This window comes from Homo sapiens, chromosome 3 (genome assembly GCF_000001405.40).
Source record: "Homo sapiens chromosome 3, GRCh38.p14 Primary Assembly".
Lineage (NCBI taxonomy): Eukaryota > Metazoa > Chordata > Mammalia > Primates > Hominidae > Homo > Homo sapiens.
In genome coordinates this window covers 1117736-1137681 of record NC_000003.12, presented here as the reverse complement: position 1 = coordinate 1137681, position 19946 = coordinate 1117736, and the positions used below count along the sequence as shown (strand labels likewise).

The 19946-nt window shown below is 36.0% G+C and overlaps 1 protein-coding gene across 21 annotated transcripts in view; it reads right to left on the bottom strand.

Annotated features, from left to right (window-relative positions):
• Positions 1–19946, bottom strand: part of CNTN6 (contactin 6) — a 311194-nt gene that overhangs the window by 266536 nt on the left and 24712 nt on the right. For 3 of the 21 annotated variants that reach the window (NM_001349354.2, NM_001349361.2, NM_001349353.2), the window contains exon 2: positions 9305–9415. The exons of 12 other annotated variants lie outside the window; for them this stretch is intronic. The gene's annotated coding sequence lies outside the window, so the exon portion shown is untranslated. Of the gene's footprint in view, positions 1–3693; positions 4290–9304; positions 9474–10740; positions 10978–19946 lie in introns of those variants that run through there. 6 more of the 21 variants (NM_001349351.2, NM_001349350.2, XM_047447972.1 and 3 more) reach the window with 4 other exon arrangements.

Genomic DNA, 19946 nt, shown 5'->3' with positions numbered 1-19946 from the left:
AGGTTCATAAGAGAATTCAGTGAGTTTGTACATACAAAGTGTAATGTTTTTTTCCATGAGATGCTTAGTTCTCTCTGACTAGGAATAGATAAATGACACCTTTTCTAGTATATTATAAATAATATTTCTGATCAAGTAGGAAGTTCAACTAGATGACCTCTTAAACACTTCTAAATTTGCAGCTCTTTATTACTATATAGGAACAGGATGCTAAAAATCCCCTGATCCAGGGGTCATCAACTGGTAGTCTAACAGATTCTTAAAAAGAGTGTTTAAAAATTGGAAAATTACATATAAAAATAAACATTTGACTTCTCATTAATTATCTGAAAATTTGGCATCACTAGTCCATATTTCCATGCGGTAAAAGTACAACAAAAAGGCATTAACAACAACAAATATCCGGAGTGACTGGCCCTTTAACACAAGTGTTTGCCATAGTTTGGGGGACACCCCCTATTGTCTCACACCTAGTTCCCTTCACTCTTTCATATTACCTGCCCAGTCTTGGAAGGCATCGTGTATACCATCTCTACACTATACCAGGTAAGCAAGATAGCTGGAAGCAGAGTCCTTTAAGATTGTGTGACAAGATAGAAAAATAGGAGGAGGAAGAGACAGAATGGGGTGCCAGGAGGTAGGCTGAAAAGGAAGATAATGAGAATAATAGTAATAATAGAATTTTTCAAATACCCAACAGAAGCGAGATTCTATGCCAGGAGTTACATGCACTGCCTCATTTCATCTTCACGGCAGTCAAATAAGAGGTATACAATTATTGCTTTCATTTTACAGGTGAAGAGACTGAAACTGGGAGGAACTAAGTAACTGGACAAAGTGCACACAGATGATAAGTGGCAGAAAAATCCCTCATTTGACCAGTATCATCAGAATCCTGAGTCCATGTTTTTCATCCCGATGGCCAATCTTACAGACTTTACAATTTTGCCGAAAGCTTACTCTGGGAGATTTTGCTCAAATCTGAACATTTGAAAGAGAAACATTTCTACTTATTAGAGGTGCAAATTGAGGACTCCCACCCTGAGTTGTTATAAAGCTAGATGGCACAGGGTAAGGCTTCCTACAGTGTGTTTATGGGGCTTAAAAAAAGCACCATGCAGCTAAATAATATGCAAAATGCAAGGCTAAATAAGGCAAAACAGTTCCTTTCCTGCAGGATTTCTGTATCTCTCCAGGGCCAGTGTACATTACAGAACTTGAAGACAGGGGTATAGCCTGCACTGTTTCCCAAACTTCCATGATCATGGGATTCGGTTTTCTGTAGTGCTTTTCCAACAGTGAACGCTTCACAGAACACACTTTGGGAAAGTCTAATCAAGGGGAAAGAGCCATGGACAAGAATAACAGAGGTCTTAGAGTCCTAATCGTGTCAATAGCTAACAATGTAGTTTGAGTAAGTCTTAGAATCTCTGTTCTTGGGTTGCCCACTGTAAATCTTGTGACCATACTACCTACCACACAGACTGCTCCTAATTTTTTTAGGGTCAATTAATAAAGGATGTAATAGAGCTCTCTAAATTTCAAAGAGCCCAAGATATCCATAAGGGATTAACTTATTAAATTTTCTCTGTCTTATAAAAGTGGTCAGGAAAATTGGGTGGGTTTTAATTGCTTTCATGCCAATCAGTGACTCTCTAACCACACACGATGGCATAACTTCTTCTATTTTGAGACAGAGTTTGGTTCTGTCACCCAGGCTGGAGTGCAGTGGCGCAATCTCGGCTCACGGCAACCTCCGCCTCCCAGGTTCAAGTGATTTTCCTGCCTTAGCCTCCCGAGTAGCTGGGATTACAGGCGCTCACCACCGTGCCCAGCTAATTTTTGTATTTTTAGTAGAGACTCGTTTCACTGTGTTGGTCAGGCAGGTCTTGAACTACTGACCTCAGGTGATCCACTCGCCTGCGGCCTCCCAAAATGCTGGGATTACAGGCGTGAGCCACTGCACCTGGCCTCATAACTTCTTTTTAATAATGCATAGCAATGTGAATTTTCTGACCTACCTAGGAAAGAATTATTGAAACTAATATATATATGTAGTGTATATACAGTGTATTTATGTATGTGTGTGTGTATATGTATATGTAGCACAATAAATACAGTAAAACCCTGCAGTTCTGAGCTCTCTCCTGAGAAAGAATGCACTTTCTTCCAAGCTTATCCATTAGGAGAAGGAAAGGGGAAAATAATCACAGAGCACTGACAGCAGGATGTACACTGATTCCATTCTGTTTCTGTTGGCTAAGGTTCACGGTCCCCACCCAGCCCCTGGACAATTGGACCTTTTGCCTTCTCTTCCATCAACCCATCCCCTGATATGTGCTCCCATTGTCAATCTTGACCTCACAGAAATAGGAGTCGCCTTGGGAGGAAAATGTGGTTGCCTGTCAACAGTGATGCTGTAAAACTCTGGGAAATTTCTCTGCAAAAGAGAGGCAAGAATTTTGAAATAATAAAAATAAAAAAGAGTGAGAAAATGCATTATTCATTTGGGAACAGGGAATGTTATTTCATCTCAGTATCTTAAGTGCCCTGGCTTTTAGAAATTGCAGAACCTTAAATCAGGCAATACTTCGTTGTGGGTGGGTTATTTTTGCAAAATACATGACTGCTGAGCAGAAATACTTTGTGCTATGGGGCATGGGGGTCCAACCTCATTCCTCAGCCCTTTGCAAATTGTATCCAAAGGAGATACAATTTGCAGGCAAAGAAATTCACCCACTGACCTCATGATACATTTCTCCAAGGGCAGGGGACTAAAATATTATCTAAGATTTTTCCACACTGCTTGTGTGCTTCCTGCATTCTTACTAACAGCAGACATTGCCACCTTCCAATATCTGGAATTCATGTTTATATAAATAGTACCCTGCTTTTGTAAACTGATTTATAATGTGAAAGATGCTTTCTTAAATAAATTGTCTCATTTGATTTTTTAAACTACCCGGAAAACAAAACAAAACAAAACAAAACAAAAAACAAAAAAAACAAAACTCAGGTTCAGGGAGATTAGCTAACTTTCCTGTAACCACAGAGGATAAATTCTTCATATTCTTTTAAAAGCATCATTTTACATTTTGGACCCTCTGAATGTAGGTGACTTGGGACAAAACTGTGATCTTAATTTGTATCCAGGTCTAGGCAAGAGTATCACGGGCTACTAGCAGTGTGGAGGGGATTATGTCAGGATGCTAAAATCACATTTAGAGGGAAGAAAAAGTACCTTCTGCAGAGCTTCCCCAAGGGCTTAGGTTCCACAGAGCACACTGTAGGAGACTAGCTCAGTGGAAAGAACACTGGGCCAGGAATCCAAAGGACTCCGTGACAGCCCTACTATCTATCACCAGCAACATTAGTTGAGTAAATGGAGCAACAACTCTGGTCTCAGATTTCCAAATTGAGATGGGAGAGCAGGCAACTCAGTAACGACAAGTATAAAAGTCGAGATGCTGTGGCCAAAAGGAGGAGGCCGACTTCCAAGTAATATAACACTACTTCAAGTAACGGATCAAAAGCACATAGACGTTATATGGTCGATCGGGGCCTTGTACCCAGATCTTTTGACTTCACAGTGAGTGGTCTTTCCATATTATTTACAGGAAGCACAGTATTATTGTTAGCTACCTGGATATATGTATTTGGAATTAGTCTGAAAAAAAAGATTAACTGGCTTACAGCACAGGAGGCCGATTGATTGTGAAGGTACTTTTGAGAAAACATCCAGGAAGGGAAGGGCTGTAGTGAGATCCACAGCAGGCTGTTGCTCCAGATACTGCCTTTGCTTCAGTCTTGATGGCTACTGATTAGACTTAGAGGATCCGAGGAAGGAAAGAAGAATATGAGAACACATGTTTCCCTAACAGTAATCCTTTTTCCCTGCATGATGTAATCAGAAGTCCTAATTCTAGAGCATAGCTACCAACCTAATCTAGGAGTTTATCTTGCATGGCCCTGAGCTCACATATCCAAGACAGCATTGACTTTGTCAGTCTACCCATGTCTGTAGGAAAATGGAAAAGAAAATAAAGTCACTGACTGGCTCCATGAGCGCCTCAAGAGGGGGCAGTCACAGCTGAGTCCATGCTATACAGCCAGGCTGCCAGTGTTTAAATCTGACCTGTGGCTCTCACTAGGTGAAGGATTTGTGTGAGTTACTTAACTCTTCTGTGCCTTAGTTTCCTCATCAGTAAAATGGGGCTAATAATGGTAGCTACTTTCCACATTTAAGGTGAGGATAAGTTTACTCATATAACCTGCTTAGAACAATATTTTATAGGCAGTCTGCACTCTCAATACATACTAGCTGCTATTATTATTATTATTACTACAAAAGTAAGTACAAAACAACCAAATTGAAAAGATCAAGTTATTTGAAGAATGTCTTATCTTTGTTTATGTTGGTCCATCTCCTTGGAATTCTCTAATTTTTATCATTGTCAAGATTCGATGACCTTATTCTACGAAATTTTCATTAAACCTTCATTTAAAAGTACTTCCACTTTCCTTTCAACTTCTAATCAATTTATCTTTAATGAATAAACAAAATATTTGCGGCACGTCTCCTTTTTCGGCATATTGCTTGGTGTATTTTTCAGGATCTTGTGTATGTGTCCTTGTATACATGATGCACTAACTTATATTTATTCAATGAATGAGTGGGTGATTGGTTGCTACTTATGAGTGCCTTAAATGTATTTCAGGTATATTATAGAAAAAGCCTCTCAGAAGCAATAATAATTTTGAGTTATTGTTCTTCTTGTTATCTTGATAGAATTCAGGAGAGTCTCCTTGAAAGCAGACACATAAGACTTTTTTAAATAAAGGGAATGAAGAAAAGTAAGTAGGCTTAAGCTGAACTAACTGTCGTCAAGTGACTGTTATTCAAACACTCTAGAAGAGGGAAAGAAGTGAAATTCTTTGTGCAGTAAAGTGACCCCCAGCAAGGATGATATCATCCACAACATCTTCACGTTATTTATTTATTTATTTATTTATTTATTTATTTTTTAGACAGAGTTTCCCTCTGTTATCCAGGCTGGAATGCAGTAGTGGGATCACAGCTCACTGCAACCTTGAACCCCTGGGTTCAAATGATCCTCCTGCCCCAAACAGGGTCTTTCTATGTTGCCCAGGCTATTCTCAAACTCCTTGTCTCAAATGATCCTCCTGCCTCAGCTTCTCAAAGAGCTGGGATCACAGGCTTCAACCACCATACCCAGCCCACATTTTAAAAAACATATATCTCTGGTGTGTCATCAATGAGATAACTGATTTTTAGGACACCAGAGTAGGTGTGTCTTTAGAAAGAAAAAATATTTTGTAATCTGCACGTAAAGTCCAATGGCATAAACTTGACCTCCCAAATGTAAAATGATATTTGAGCACATCCCATTTTTGGCTTATTGGTTGCAAACAGATTTTTAAAAGACATGAGTTTGAAAAAGTATTGATCATATTACAAGATGTTATTCAGAGTTTTTAGAGTAAAAGAAACATAAACACAGTTACATATTTTAGAAGTGTCAGGCCCAATCTGCTTGTCGATTCCCAGAACATACTAGTTTTTCAGAGGATGTACGCATATAAATAAACTAAATGCATATAGAAAAGCACATATATCTTTTCTTTCCAAATTGCTTTCCTTCACTCTACCTGACATAAACTCCCTGATGTCCTGGCCAGAGTGGTATTTTTGGCACAATATTGTTCCTGATTTCTCTATTGCCTCCTGGGGACCTGCCTTTCAAACATCTAATCTGAATTTTCTCATGAATGCCAATGATATACGGCTACATTTTTCCTTCAAACTTTCCATCCCGCAGGCACTCCAAGTACTCTGTGACTACTTTCAAGATATTCATAACAAGGTGAATAGCAATTACTTGTAACAGAAGATAGAAAAGGCAAAGGGCATTTTTATTGGTTCTAGGAAGATTTATCTACATTGATACAGCATTTACTGAAAAACTCTTATCACCCCAGAGAATGATGAATGACCACCTCTGTCTCAGCTCTATCCCTGGAGGTTCCCAGGTGCTAACTGCCTTGAGGTCTTCCTTGCCACACAGAGAAGTTAGTCTCCATTCATTCCTGCATGTTAACTTCACTTGAGTTTAGTGAGCAGTGAACACTTTATTCACTCCCAATTCAAATCAAAATAGGGGTTTAATTTGCTTCCCTGTCTTCTGGGGCTAATCTCCATTCATTGAACACTCATACTCCCATTAACTCAAGGTCAAGGAGAGCAACCCCCTAAGCAGCCTTTGAATGAGGCACTGAAGGACTAATTGTTCCTTTGGAAGCTTGCATATAGCTCCTGCTGGTATCAATGAGTACCTCCCTTTGTGTACCCTGCATTCCAGGCCAGAACTGAGTATAAGACATGATTTTATGTGACTAGTCATGGATAATTAACACCCTACTTACTTCTGAGCTCAGCACTACATTTCCAGGATGAATATCATCGTGCTTGGTGTGCCCTGCAGACCTACCATTTGCAGGTGGAATACCAGGACATCAACTCCTGCTAAGTGTCAGGAACTTTTATCACATAGCAGGTATCAGAGCAGACCTTAGCAGCAGCCAGCTTTATGGAACATCTCCAGGGTCTGCCTGTTATTTCGCTGGAACAACCTGATAGCTGTGAGAAAGAGTTCTCAGTTCCTTTGCCATTCTTAATATTCCATGATTTTGTCTATGTTATTTACACTCAAAGAATCTCTGGAGACAAAGTACAGTAAGTAAGTTCCATCTTAATTTATAAATGATGGACTTCTTGCAACACTTAGTTGAATTCCATTTCTAATAGTTGCTATAAACCAGGTTAAAGAAAGACAAATCATTCCTATTTTGACACAGACAGGCAGAAGCTTTCTTGTCTGCATATGTGCACATTTTTTCATACATGTCAATTGATGTACTGATCAAACATTGTTGTCTTCATTTGAGATCCCCCCCAAAATAGATTCTGAATCAAGGATTTGAATGCAAGTTTAGTTGGGATCCCAAGAAACATTGCTAGGATAGTGGGTTACTCAGAAAGAGAATGAAGCCAGTGAAGGTTTGTTATCAAGCCATTTGCCAGTGTCATCAACTGGATCTCAGTTCCTCTGGGGACCACTGGAAGGTGGTGCAGAACAATGCTCAGGAACTCAACAACGGGGCTAGAAAGATGGGTATTTATTTATCAATTCCCCATCTATAATTGCTTGAGAGTTGCTCTGGGGAGCATTAACTCTCAGGCACTTCTGCTTTTTCTTGCTTGGAGGAAAGCACGCTTCCTAGGCCAGAAAATAGCCTTCAGTCAGGGATACTTAGTTAGGTTTTCACCGTGTTATCTTTCAGGGTTACAGTGGCAAATCCTAGGGGTGAAGGGAGTGAGGGTAGGAGATTCACTAAGGGCATAGACAGCATCTGCTACAATGATTAAACCCCTGCCATGTTTTAGATATAGGGTTAGAAATTGGCCTTGAAATAAAGTCAATGTCCTGTGTAAAGATTGGACTTTGGCAAGGATTTTTATTACTAGAATACCAAGCTTATTACCCCTAATCAATCTTCTTGTTTTGCAATCGGCTTTTTCATTAAGTAGAGAGAATATAGAGAAGACAGGACTTTTAATAGATAAATCACACTAAAAATTAAAGATTTGCTTTTTAAACTACTTCTTAAACTCAACATTAAAAATATATCTAGATTTACCTGTATATGTATGTATCTATTCAAAAGGATATTATTTTATAAAAGTCTTGAAAAACTGTTTTTAAAAAACAAACTATTTTATACAAATGAATAGAGTCTTGATGTAAATAGTTTTCAAAAGCATGACTTGAGACGTGAAATCAATAACTATTGATAAATATATAGAAATTCATACTTAAATTCATGTAGAAGTCACATACATTTAACTTTCAGTTATAGACATGTGCCTCCAGCAGATGTCATGTAGGAAGTGTTGGATATACCAACATTGACACTGGAAACTTGCTGGAGTTACAGAAAACATCTTATATTTAATAAATATAGCACTTTGCATATTAGAATTCATTGCACATTCATATTTATGTTTAATCTCCAAAATAAGTGTGAGAAAGGCATTATTATTCACATTTTACGAAAAAATGCAAAGTGACTGTGCAGAAAGTTGGGTAATTTACTGTAGGTCACAAAACAGGAAAGGGCAAAGCCAAAAGTCATCCCAAACCTTTCCCCAGCCTGTGCCTATATGCATGAAGACGGTACAATTTCTGTATTTCACTTGGAAATTTTGGTCACACCAACGGGATCAAATTTCTCAAGTCGCCTGGGAATGGAGGATTACCCAGATGCAATACTTTGAGTGCTATAATCAGGAGACCACAGGCAAAAAGGGAAGGTGGAGCCCTCTAACTTGCACTTAAAATATGCACATTATCTTGGCAGCATATGCTGAAGTTTTTGGTGATCATACTGTCATATAGATGTTCTCTAAAGTTATAGTTCCACAATAGCATGCTGCTGGTCTCTCAAGATTGATTAAATTCTATAACTTCCTTTTTAAACCAATCTATTTCTCCCTAAGTAGTTCCCAAGCACAGCATTAGCTACATTAGTATTCTAACACCCTTCCTTGAATATAGTTCACTAATTTTTACCTTCTATGTATTTACATAAACACTAAAAAGAAAAATTATGCAAACAAAAGAAGGCATATATCTAGTTGTTCCAATATTGAAGTGAAGATTAGAGAAGATAAGAAATAAAAAAGTTACCTATCCAAAATGGTTTTATGGAACTGAATAGTACTCAGAAAGCTTGAACTATTAAAAGTGCAATATATTTCAATTTATAATTTAAATGTGTTTGGGTTGCTAAAGAGAAAATTGGAAGTTCTAATGTCATTTTTTTAAAAACTTTAGAAACAAACAGCTAACACAAGCATGTTGCTCTGTAAATAAATATATGCATCTGCAGGAGGATGTTGGCACTCAAAAGGAAAAGGAAAATAGAATAGGTGAATAGTGACTTTATTTCTCTAAAACCAGCACAGCTATGTTCTTAGTTTCTAAACTCAATGATCCCATCACTCCAGGCTTCTCTAGATAATCGTTGATTTATATACTTAAGTGTTGGTGCAGGTACCATGCCTAATTTTCTGTGTGATTTTTGGAATGTACTTTGCTTCATTGAGTGTTAGCTCTTTGACAAATTGTGGAGTGGGGAGGCAGTTGGACTAGGTGATCCTCCAATTGTGCACAGGATAAATTAGTGATGTTGACCAGATGACAAAGAACACTATAACTGTTACCTGGTTAATAAAGAAGCACAAAGTGGGGATGAGGCTTCACTCCCTCTTGGCCTCACATGTCATCCTCAGGGTATCATCAGATGTGAGAATTAAGGCCTCAGAGTAGGCATTCTGCAACAAGATGCCAAAATCACATTTATGATGCAGAAGTAATGTTGAAGGTCATGGTCTGCAAAATTATATTTGGAGATGGAAGAAAGATCACAATTTCAAAAGGATGAGGTAAAAGAGTCAAATTTAGTTACAACTGTCTCTATAATTCAACAATAAGTGAGTGAAACCAGCTCAAGGTGGGAGCTTCAAGTAGCAAAACGGAAGCCAATTGTGTAATTCTAGTTGGTATGCACTTAATTTAGAAAAATTTCTGTGGTCAGCCATTCCCTAATACAAAACTTTGAAACTGTAGGCCCTAAAGACTGTGCTCACTCAATTTAAAAGGCATATCCTTTGGTTTCTATATCTCATAGGCTTCTGTTCCCCTTGAACAATCTGTGTTTCATGTATATATACACACACACAAAATTGAAAAGCTGTATCAGATATTAGAAAATACCACATCAATTGTTGCTTTGGCCGAATGAAAGGCCTGAAAAATTTGGAAAAAAATAGAAAAGACCCTCCAGCTATATTTAGATTGTATTTTCTCAGTGTGCAAAAATTCAATCAACAAAATATATTTAATGTCTAGAATAAGTATCAAAGTAACAGATTCAGAAAGTAAAAATTCAATCAACCTATTATTTTTGTATATAAGACATGGAACTGGTTTATTGACTTCACAGGCTTCTTCTGGTTGTGTTGGTTGAATCAAATTATTGGCTAGTGTTATCATTTACGGCTTTTACTGAATCTCATTGTTATAGAAGAATACAACATAATCACTTAGAGAGGTCTATGCGTTTACATGTAATTCTGACAGCAGCTATCAGTACAGATAAATTTGACTAGGTAACTTTAAACTTAAAGAATTTATGTAATTAAAAATGGATTTTTACTTACTGTACCTGAAGTATCAAACTTATTAAATATTTATCCTTTTGTCCATTATGTAATACTGTCATTGGTATATACTAGTAACATTTATATAAAGTTGAGTTTCCAAATAAATTAACTTTTTCCTGTCTGTGGTGATTGAGTAATTATTATTAAACTGTGCTAGAATGTGTCTTTGAAGCAACCCTATTTCCACATCCCTTAGTAGGGAAAAACAGGCATTTTCAACTTTTCTATTTTGCTCGTAAATGAAATAGTAAACACTTTTACAGAAGCATGTATAAATTATATATAGCACATATAAAATATATAAAAACTAAATTTACTTTTATATAATTTGTATACTTTTATATAATTTGTATTAAATAATATTGTATTTGTATATAATGTACATATGTATGCAGATGTCTATATATAACTTAGGATATTGAGATTCCATTGACCTGGTGATGACATCTTCAGAATATTAGGAGATAATATTCAGCACCAATGGGAAATGTGTTAACTCTCCAGATGACTTTCTTTCTATCTTTTCTTCAATCATGTAGGAAGTTCCTTGGTGATGTTGGAAGAATCACGTTGAAGGGACACAGGAAGTAACTCTGAATGTAAAGATTATGACTTTCTCTTCTCTTCAGGCTTGGCTCAAGACATTGTTTCCAGTCAATAAAATGTGGTGTCTGCAGCCAAGAAAAGCTCATTTAACAAATATTGATTGATGAGTGTGCTAAGAGCTCTTCATGTCAGTGATACAAAATTGAACAAGGCAAACATGCTCACTGCCATGATGGAGCTCTTATTCTAAAGATGGTGGTGACAGACAGTAGGAAAATAGGCAGAGTTACAATTAACAAAGATTGTGATAAGTATGAAGAGGGGAATAAATGTGATAATAAGACAGTGACCTGGGGTATAATGAGATTGGAAATCATTGCTGCTGCTTTAGATAAACTGACTGGAAAAGGTCAAACTGAACATTCTCTGAGCCAAATGGACTCTCACCATTCTACATGGCAAGACAAAGGAGGGAAATTAGAGAATCTGGTTTATCTTAACCAGTAGAATCATATTTATTTTAATAAACATTTATAATTAGGACACATTTGAATACATGTATATACATGTTTTTGAAAATCACATACTGATTCAACTTTCGGTATACCTTTCCATTTTCCAGTGAGGAATGGAGGCTTAGAAAGCCTTCAAGGAAAATAAGCTAATAAAACCAGCAACTTTCTCAAAATCAGTCATTGATTTAAATATTTAGACAATCATATGGGAAAGACAAAAATACTCTGGGGTAAATAATATTGCTTGAGAAGATTCTTAGGCCTAGGAGAATTCCTACGATTCTAGCGTGTTTTGGGGTATAGTTAACGGTGGAAAGAGAGAATACAATTTGAAAAATCCTGTGAAATATAAATCCAAACTAAAGCCAAACTGAAACTAAAAGCAAACTGAAAACTACAGTGCCCGAAAAGCAGAACATTATCTAGTTCACCATCATAACATGGAGTTGGCTTTTGTCTCAAATCTTTTCTCCTAAAATGATACTATCTCAATATGTCTGTGGTTGTCATATCATCATTAGAATATATTACCGGTACTTTGATTAGATTAAGTGGAAAGCTAAGCTTTAATTTACAGAAATTCACATCACAGCCAACTCTTACTTGAAACACTTCTAGCCCATAAAGCAGCACTAAAACTTGGTGCATCTAGTAGCTGACACTCTGACTTATTTTTTAATATTTGTTAAGGGCAATAAGCAAGAACTAGTTCTTCTATCATTTTACAAGCTGAATGGCTGGTTAGTAGTCATTTTTATTCTGACCTGGTTTGAACCTGCATAATACTCACATTGCCTCTGGCATTTGACTGTGTGCAGATTACATTTTGCTTCTTTCTTCAGAAATTGGGCACTGCCAGGGAACACCAGCAATTCCTTGGAAGTCATGTTCCAAGCCCATTGATGTAAAAGGCTAAAATGAACTGCTTTCTTTTGTCCCAAATTTCCCTTCCAAATTTTGCTTATGTATCTGATAATTTATTCAAGATTTAGTTTTAAAAATTCACACTGTAAAGCTTTGGGTCTGTGTCTCAGTCTGCACAGATACTGAATCAAACATTTGAGAATTTTTAAAAAATCAGATATAGTTTTAGTCAATTAGGGCCAAGACAGATAAGTAAAGATTTAGATAACTAAAATAAAAATATTTCCATTGGTTATTTCTGTTTCTCAGGCATATCTGAGGTGTACACACATAAAACATTAACATATTTCTTAACTATCACATTTCCTGAATGTTCCAGATACAGAAAAATTTAGGCTGATTTATTCATTTATTCTTGTATTCATTCTATAACTTAAAAACAAGAATAACAAAATGACTACTTTGTGACTGGCACTGATCTGGGTCTTGAAGATACAATAGTGAGCAAATAGGAGCAATAATACGACCCTCCCAGACCTTGTAGAAATTAACACGTGATTTTAATAAACTCTGATAAGTGCTATGGCATGGGCAATGCTGGTGTTTGGGAAAAATGCAGCACAAGTAACTCATTTGGTCTAAGGAAAGTCAGAAAATCTTCATGGAGGAAGTGGCCGAAAATTGAATCATAATAAGTAAAACCAGGTGATGATGTTGGGGAGTGAAGAAGCGGAAGGGATGTTCTTTCTCTTAAAAAAAATTTCAATAATGTTTAGGATACAGGTGGTTTTTTGTTACATGTATAAGTTCTTTAGCAGGGATGTCTGAGATTTTAGAGCACCTATCACTAGACCAGTGTACACTATACCCAATATGTGTTCTTTTATCTCTCAGGTCCCTCCCAATCTCCCCCAACCCTGAGTCCCCAAACTCGATTATATCATTCTTATGGGACAGGATGTTCGGATTAGAAAAAGTACAGGTGTGGAAGATAATAGGCCAAAGGTAACTTGACTAAGAGAAGAAATTAAGTGAGGTTCAGTGTGGTTGGAGTACTGAAACACAAAGTTATGTGTTTGGAGGAGATGGAGGGGAAAAGACAGAATGACAGGCTAGAGAGATAAGGGTGGGGTATACCAAGAATAGTAGCAGGGTTGGTATAATTCAGGGTTTCTCAATCTGGGTGGTGTTGGCGCGTTGGCCTGGCTAATCCTTTGTTGTGAGACAAAGGAACGCTTTCCTCTCTGTTGTAGAACATCCAGGAGCATCCTTGTCTTCATGCACCAGATGCCAGTAGCACCCTCCTCCAGTTATGACAATCAAAAATATCTTGACATTGCTAATATAAACTGGGAGCCAAAATCACCTCTAGTCCAACAGAATATTAAAAGAATTATACATTATGGCCAATCGGGATTTGTCCCAGGAATGTAGGGGTGGTTCAACATAAGGAAACAATCAGAGGAATACCCCATCTTAATAGAATGAAGGGGAGAGAAAACCTCATATGATCATATCAATTAATGCACAGAAAATCATTTAACACAGTCCAAAACACTTTCATGATAAAAACATTCAGAAAACTAGGACTACAAAGAAACTTTCTCAAAATAAAGGACATTGGAGGGAAACCTGCAACTAACATCATACTCAATGGTAAAAGACTGACATCTGTCCCACTCTGATCGGGAACAAGACTTGAATAGTCTCCTTCACCATTGCTGTTCAACACTGTACTGGAAGTTCTAACCAGAGCAAGTAGGCAAGAAAACTGAATAAAAGGTATCTAAATTGGGAAGAAAATAAATAACAAAACCATGTCCATTTGCAGATTGCATAATCTTACATATAAAAATCTCAGTCTTCCAAAAAGCTACTAAAGGACAAATTCAGCAAAGTTGTAGGTAGAAGATCAAAATATAAAAATTAGTTTTATAAACTAAATTAAAAAACAAATAAAAAATAAGGACAAAAATTAGTTATGTTCCTATATGCCAGCAATTATCTGAAAAGCACATTAAGAAAAAAACATCAACGTATAATAGCATTCTGAAGGATAAAATACCCATGAATAAATGTAACAGAGAAAGTGAAAGACTTGTACACTGAGAACTAGAAAATATTGCTGACATTAATTAAAGAAGATCTAATAAATAGAAAGATATCTTATGTTCATGGATTAGGAGGCTTAATGTGGTTAAGATGTCAGTGTTAACTACTCATGTGATTGCAGATTCAAGGCAATCCCTGTTAAAATTCCAATGGCTTTTTTAGAAAACGGTTATGGAAAAGCTGATTTTCAAATTTCTATGTAATTGCAAGGGCCTGAATAGCCAAAATAACTTGGAAAAAGAACAAACTTGAAGGACTTATACTTCCCAGTTTTAAAGCTAAATATGAATGTATGATAATCAAAACAGTGTGGTACTGGAAACGTTTTGTGGTTTCCAAAAAACTCCACATAGAACCACCTTGTAACCCTATCATTTCAGTCCCAGGTATATACCCTAAATAACTGAAAACTGGCACTCAAACAAGTACCTGTACACACATGCTTATAGTAGCACATTCAAAATAGCCAAATGGTGGAAACAGCCCAAATGCTCAACTAACAAACAAATTGTGATATGTACATAAAATGGAATATTATTCAGCCATAAAGAGCAATGAGGTTCTGACACACGCCGAAACGTAGATAAACCTTGAAAATATTATACTAAGTGAAAGAAGCTGGACACAAAGGTCATATATTGCATGAATCCATTTATACAAAATATCCAGAACTGATAAATCTACATAGGCAGAGGACAGATTGGTAGTTGTTGCGGCCTGGAAAGTGAAAGGGAGAAAATGGGGAGAAATTTACTAATTGGTAAGAGCTTCTTTCTTTGGATTGATGCAAATGTTTTCCAAGAGGATAGTGGTGGTTGTGCAACATCGTGCCTGTATTAAATGCAACCGAATTGTCCACTTTACAACGGTTACTTTTATGTCATGGGAATTATACTTCAATAAACTGTGTTTTTAAATCACCGCTGGTTGAGAACCCCTTCTTTCCTCCTTCATTCCTCCCTTCCTTCCTTCCTTCCTCCTTCCCTCCTTCCCTCTCTCTCGCCCTCCCTTCTTTCTTTCCTTTTTTTCCTTTATTTATTTCTCTCTTCCTCTTTTCCTCTCTCTCTCTTTCTTTTTTCTTGTAAATGTATATTTCCTGCAAGGTTGGGGTCATACTGTGGTATATCTGGATATGCACATACATTCAGGGACAATATAAATTAAATTAATATACTAGTTCCATTAACCAGAACTTTAAGAAGACATTTATATAGTTTTTACATTCATTTTACTGCTGTAATTGATTTGCAAAAAAATAATTCATTTAATCTTCATGAAAAATATATGAGGCAGGCACTGTTATTATCCCTATTTTACAAATAAGAAAACTGAGGTCTAGAGAGATCAGAACACCTGCCCAAAGTGAAATAGCTGGAAAATGGCAAAGGTGGGATTTCAATACAAAAATCTAGCTTCTTTATTCTCAAGCACTTAATTATGCTGATATTCTAAATATAAATTATACAAAGAAGGAAAAGGCAATACACATGTGTTTTCTCATGTTTGGAGTCAGCTCTAAGCAAAAATGTGTGGCCTACCTAAACTCAACAATAGTAATAAAATAGGTAAATGATGGTCTTACTATCCATCACTTACTAGACTACTTCGTAGTCATTAAAATGGATAAATATGAAGGCTGTGTAGCAACATGAAAAATATTTGTAATCTTATATGTTTCAAAAAAAATCAGAAAGGCAAACCATTTCTGTAGTATGGTTATCCTTATATAAACATTCTGACTATATACAAAGATTAGCAAAAGAATACAGGCAAGTGAAATCAGTAAGGTAGGAGAAATAGATTGGTGGTGAATATTTTTAACTCTTACTTAAAGTTCTGTTATTGTAGCTCTTGTTTTAATGTGATGAAATCATATTTACAAATAAATACAAATCAAAATTAATATGGCAAACTACTCAATATCCATCTTGCAACATGAGCTTCATAACACAAAGACCTTATAAAGGAGCTATGGAATACTGATGTTTCTGTGCTTTTTTATAAATAAGAGATTCAATTTCAAAAAACTTGTAATGATTAGTTCTAACAATGTTTTCCCTGAAGCTCCTATCAATAATGATCCTGTCAATTTGTTTAACTCTGTGTTCCAATAGAGTAGCTCAGTACTACATACCTCTCAAGAAATATTTACATACATATGAAGACACAGAAAAAGGAAAGGGAGTTACATAGAAAATAAAGAGGCCAGTAACTGCACACACTTTCTTCCCAACTCAGTGACTTGGCTATATTAATTTACTTTCTATATTATTAAACAATGATCATTATGTAGTATGTGTCCTATCTACTATGTTCATATTTTAAATAAAATCAGAAATGTAGAAAATATTCAAAGGAATAATGCTAATCTCCAAACAAACTTTAGAAGACTTTATGTACTCTACCATTAGATAAAAGCTAAGAGGCTTTAAAAAGGCTTTTCCAAGTTTGTAATAAAGAAAGTAATTTAGCCAGGAATATGATCTTTCCAAAAAATGACATCAGAAAAACAAGATATCTGTATGAAACTCTACACTATCCACAAAAATCAATTTTAAATAGATCACAGAGTAAACATAAAAACTAAAACTATACAATTCTGGAAGGAAACATAGGAGAAAATATTTGTGACCTTGGGATAAGCAAAGATTTCTTAGGACTCAAAAATGACCAACCATAAAAATATAGATAAATTTGACTTTATAAAAATTAAGACTACCTGCTCTTCAGAGGCTGAGAGAAAATATTCAAAATACATATATCTGATAGAAGGTTGTGTCTAAAATATATAAAACAATAATATTAAAAAGAAGCAAATAGGCAAAATATTTTCATAAACACTTTACAAAGTAAAATATGTAGAGTCAATAGGTACATAAAAAGATAAGTCATTAGGGAAATGCAAATTAAAGCTACAATGAGATATAGCACTTCATACCCAGAATAATGACTAAAACTAAAAAGACTGACCATGCCAAACACTGATGACGAGGTAGAACAGCTAAACCTTTCGTATATTGCTGGCAGGAATGTAAAATGACACAACCACTTTCAAAAACATTTACTAAGATAAACATCACATATAACCCATCAATTCCTCTCTAAAGTAGAATGTAAGACAAATGAAAACATGTATCTACCCAAAGAATTGCTCTTAAATGTTAATAGGAATTTGATTCATAATAAGCCCAAACTTGAAAAAAACCAAACATCCATCAATAGGTGAATGGATAAACAAATTGTGGCATATGGAATACTACTCAGCAATAAAAAGGAAAAAGGTAGTGATTTGTGTAAATACATGGATGAAACTGACAATGTGCTGAACTAAATGTCCAACATAAAGCACCGTACTACATGCTTCCATTTATATAACGTTCTAGAATCAGAAAAACACTAATTTGTGGTGATCAAAATCAGATCAGTCATTGTAGGCAAGAAATGTGGTAGGATTGACTTCAAAAAAGTGTGAAAGTACTTTCTTGGGTGATATAAGTATTCTGTATTTTGATAGGGAGGAACAGGGATTTATATGGGCATACACGTTTTTCAAATTCATTTAACTGGACCCATAAAATGTGTGCATTTTGTTATATGTGAGTTATATCTTAATAAAGTCAATGACAATTTCATATTTTGGAGGGAACTAAGGGGGGTGATGGAAAGTGAATAAAGGAAAGGGTAGAAAAATGAGGAAAAAGCCATGCTTATCTAGTAACTGAAGTTCTGTTTACGCACAAGTGGAATTCTCTTTTAGTCTTGTGGCTCTCATTCTTTTGTTACTAGCCTAACAGTGTTCAACACACTGTCTTCTATGATGCTCTCTTTCAAATTTCCTCAGACCCTGGCAATAAGACAACTCAGTTTAACCAGTTCTCAGGACTATGAACCTATATGTATCTGACTATGTATAAAAATATGGTAATCATAGAGTTTTTAAGATGTCAAAGCTCGAAGAGTTTATCTGGGCCAAAGAGACATTCTCCACACACACACACACACACACACACACACACGATTTTTCTGTTATTCTTTCTCAAATGTTCCTAGACATTAATATTCTAAGGGCTTAAAATCAGACCATCAATAAATAAATAAAATTATAGTCCTATTATGACCTACATCTACCAACTTAAAAAAAAAAAACCTGAAATCACTACGTTACTAATAGTTTCACTTAAAAAATGCAGACTCAAATTGTCTCGAAGACAGAATGTAAAAAAGCCTGTGGCACACTTTCCAACAGCCTCTCCTTCAAATCTGCCACATTGACTTCTTTTCAAATTCCTTCCCTAAGTAGTTAGAAAGATGGGAGATGGATCACTGAATTTAGCCCTTTATGTATGGTCCCATAAAAAGCTAGCCACTCACCGTTCTCACCTTATGAATTCATGGATCAGAGATTACATTTGTAAATAAAAGAAAAAGGAGAGAGGAAAATGGTGTTTTTTTGTTTTGTTTTGTTTGTTTTTTTTTTTTTTAAGAGGTATTGGAAAGCAGCCATCTTATTAACACCAAGGTCTTCAGTCTGGCAGAAAACACTAACAATACAAAAGCTATGCTTATCTCTCAGATGTCTGCTGGAGTTGCCAAAATAATTTCCATTAAATTATGAATTAGAGAGACATGACTATATGAAAGACCAAGTGACCAGTACTTGAATAGAAGAAAACAACATGAATTGGATCGATTTAGGAAATAAATCTTTATTAATTCTTTCAGCAATTATGTTACCTATATTGACCACCTGTGCACCAATCATGACCTCAAGAGACAAGAATAATAAAGATGAATGATAGTTGAAAAAACTTACAGAAAAAGGACATTATTGGGGGACTTAGGACTTTGGATCAGTGAATTGTGAATCTTGGCCAAATTGTTTACCTAGACAGCATTATTTTCTTCATTTATGAAACCAGGACTTTAGGCTTTGTTTAGAAATAAAACTGTAATTGTTCTATTATGCTTCTTGCTTGTGAGCATTACTATTCCGTACAGGTCATATACAGGTTAGAAAGCTGTGAGTCATTCAGAGCACTATCTTTCCCTAGCCCCGCTCCTCACCACACGTGTTCAGTGAGTCACCGAGTCCTGTGGATTGAACTCATTTTGTGAAAGGCTTCTCTTCACCTTTAGGATAATAACTTAACTGATAATACAGGCATAAATGAACTTTCCTCGTATGCTGGCATTTAACAACCACCGCAGCAGAGTTACATATTTAGCCTTACTAAGTACGGAGCATATAATTTAATCCTCTTGAAAACATGGCATAGGTATTTGTTTAGATTGCCTTTCTTCAACAGCGGGCCTTGAGGCAAGGGCTTATTTGGGAAGTGATTACCAGAAGCACAAATCAGAGTGTGGAGAAAGTGAGACAGGGAAGGGAGAAAATTCAGTAAAATGTGCAGAATGGTGTGAATCACACTGCAAAGAACTGAAGCTCAGTTTCTCTGTAGACCCACTGAGGTTCTATATAATATACACTTTAGAATTGCTGTATAAAGGGATGGAGAACCTGGTATATTTATCAACCTACTCTTTTACTTCATCAGTTCAGGAATACCTCTGGGAACATTAAATCACTTGTTGCTACTTCCAGT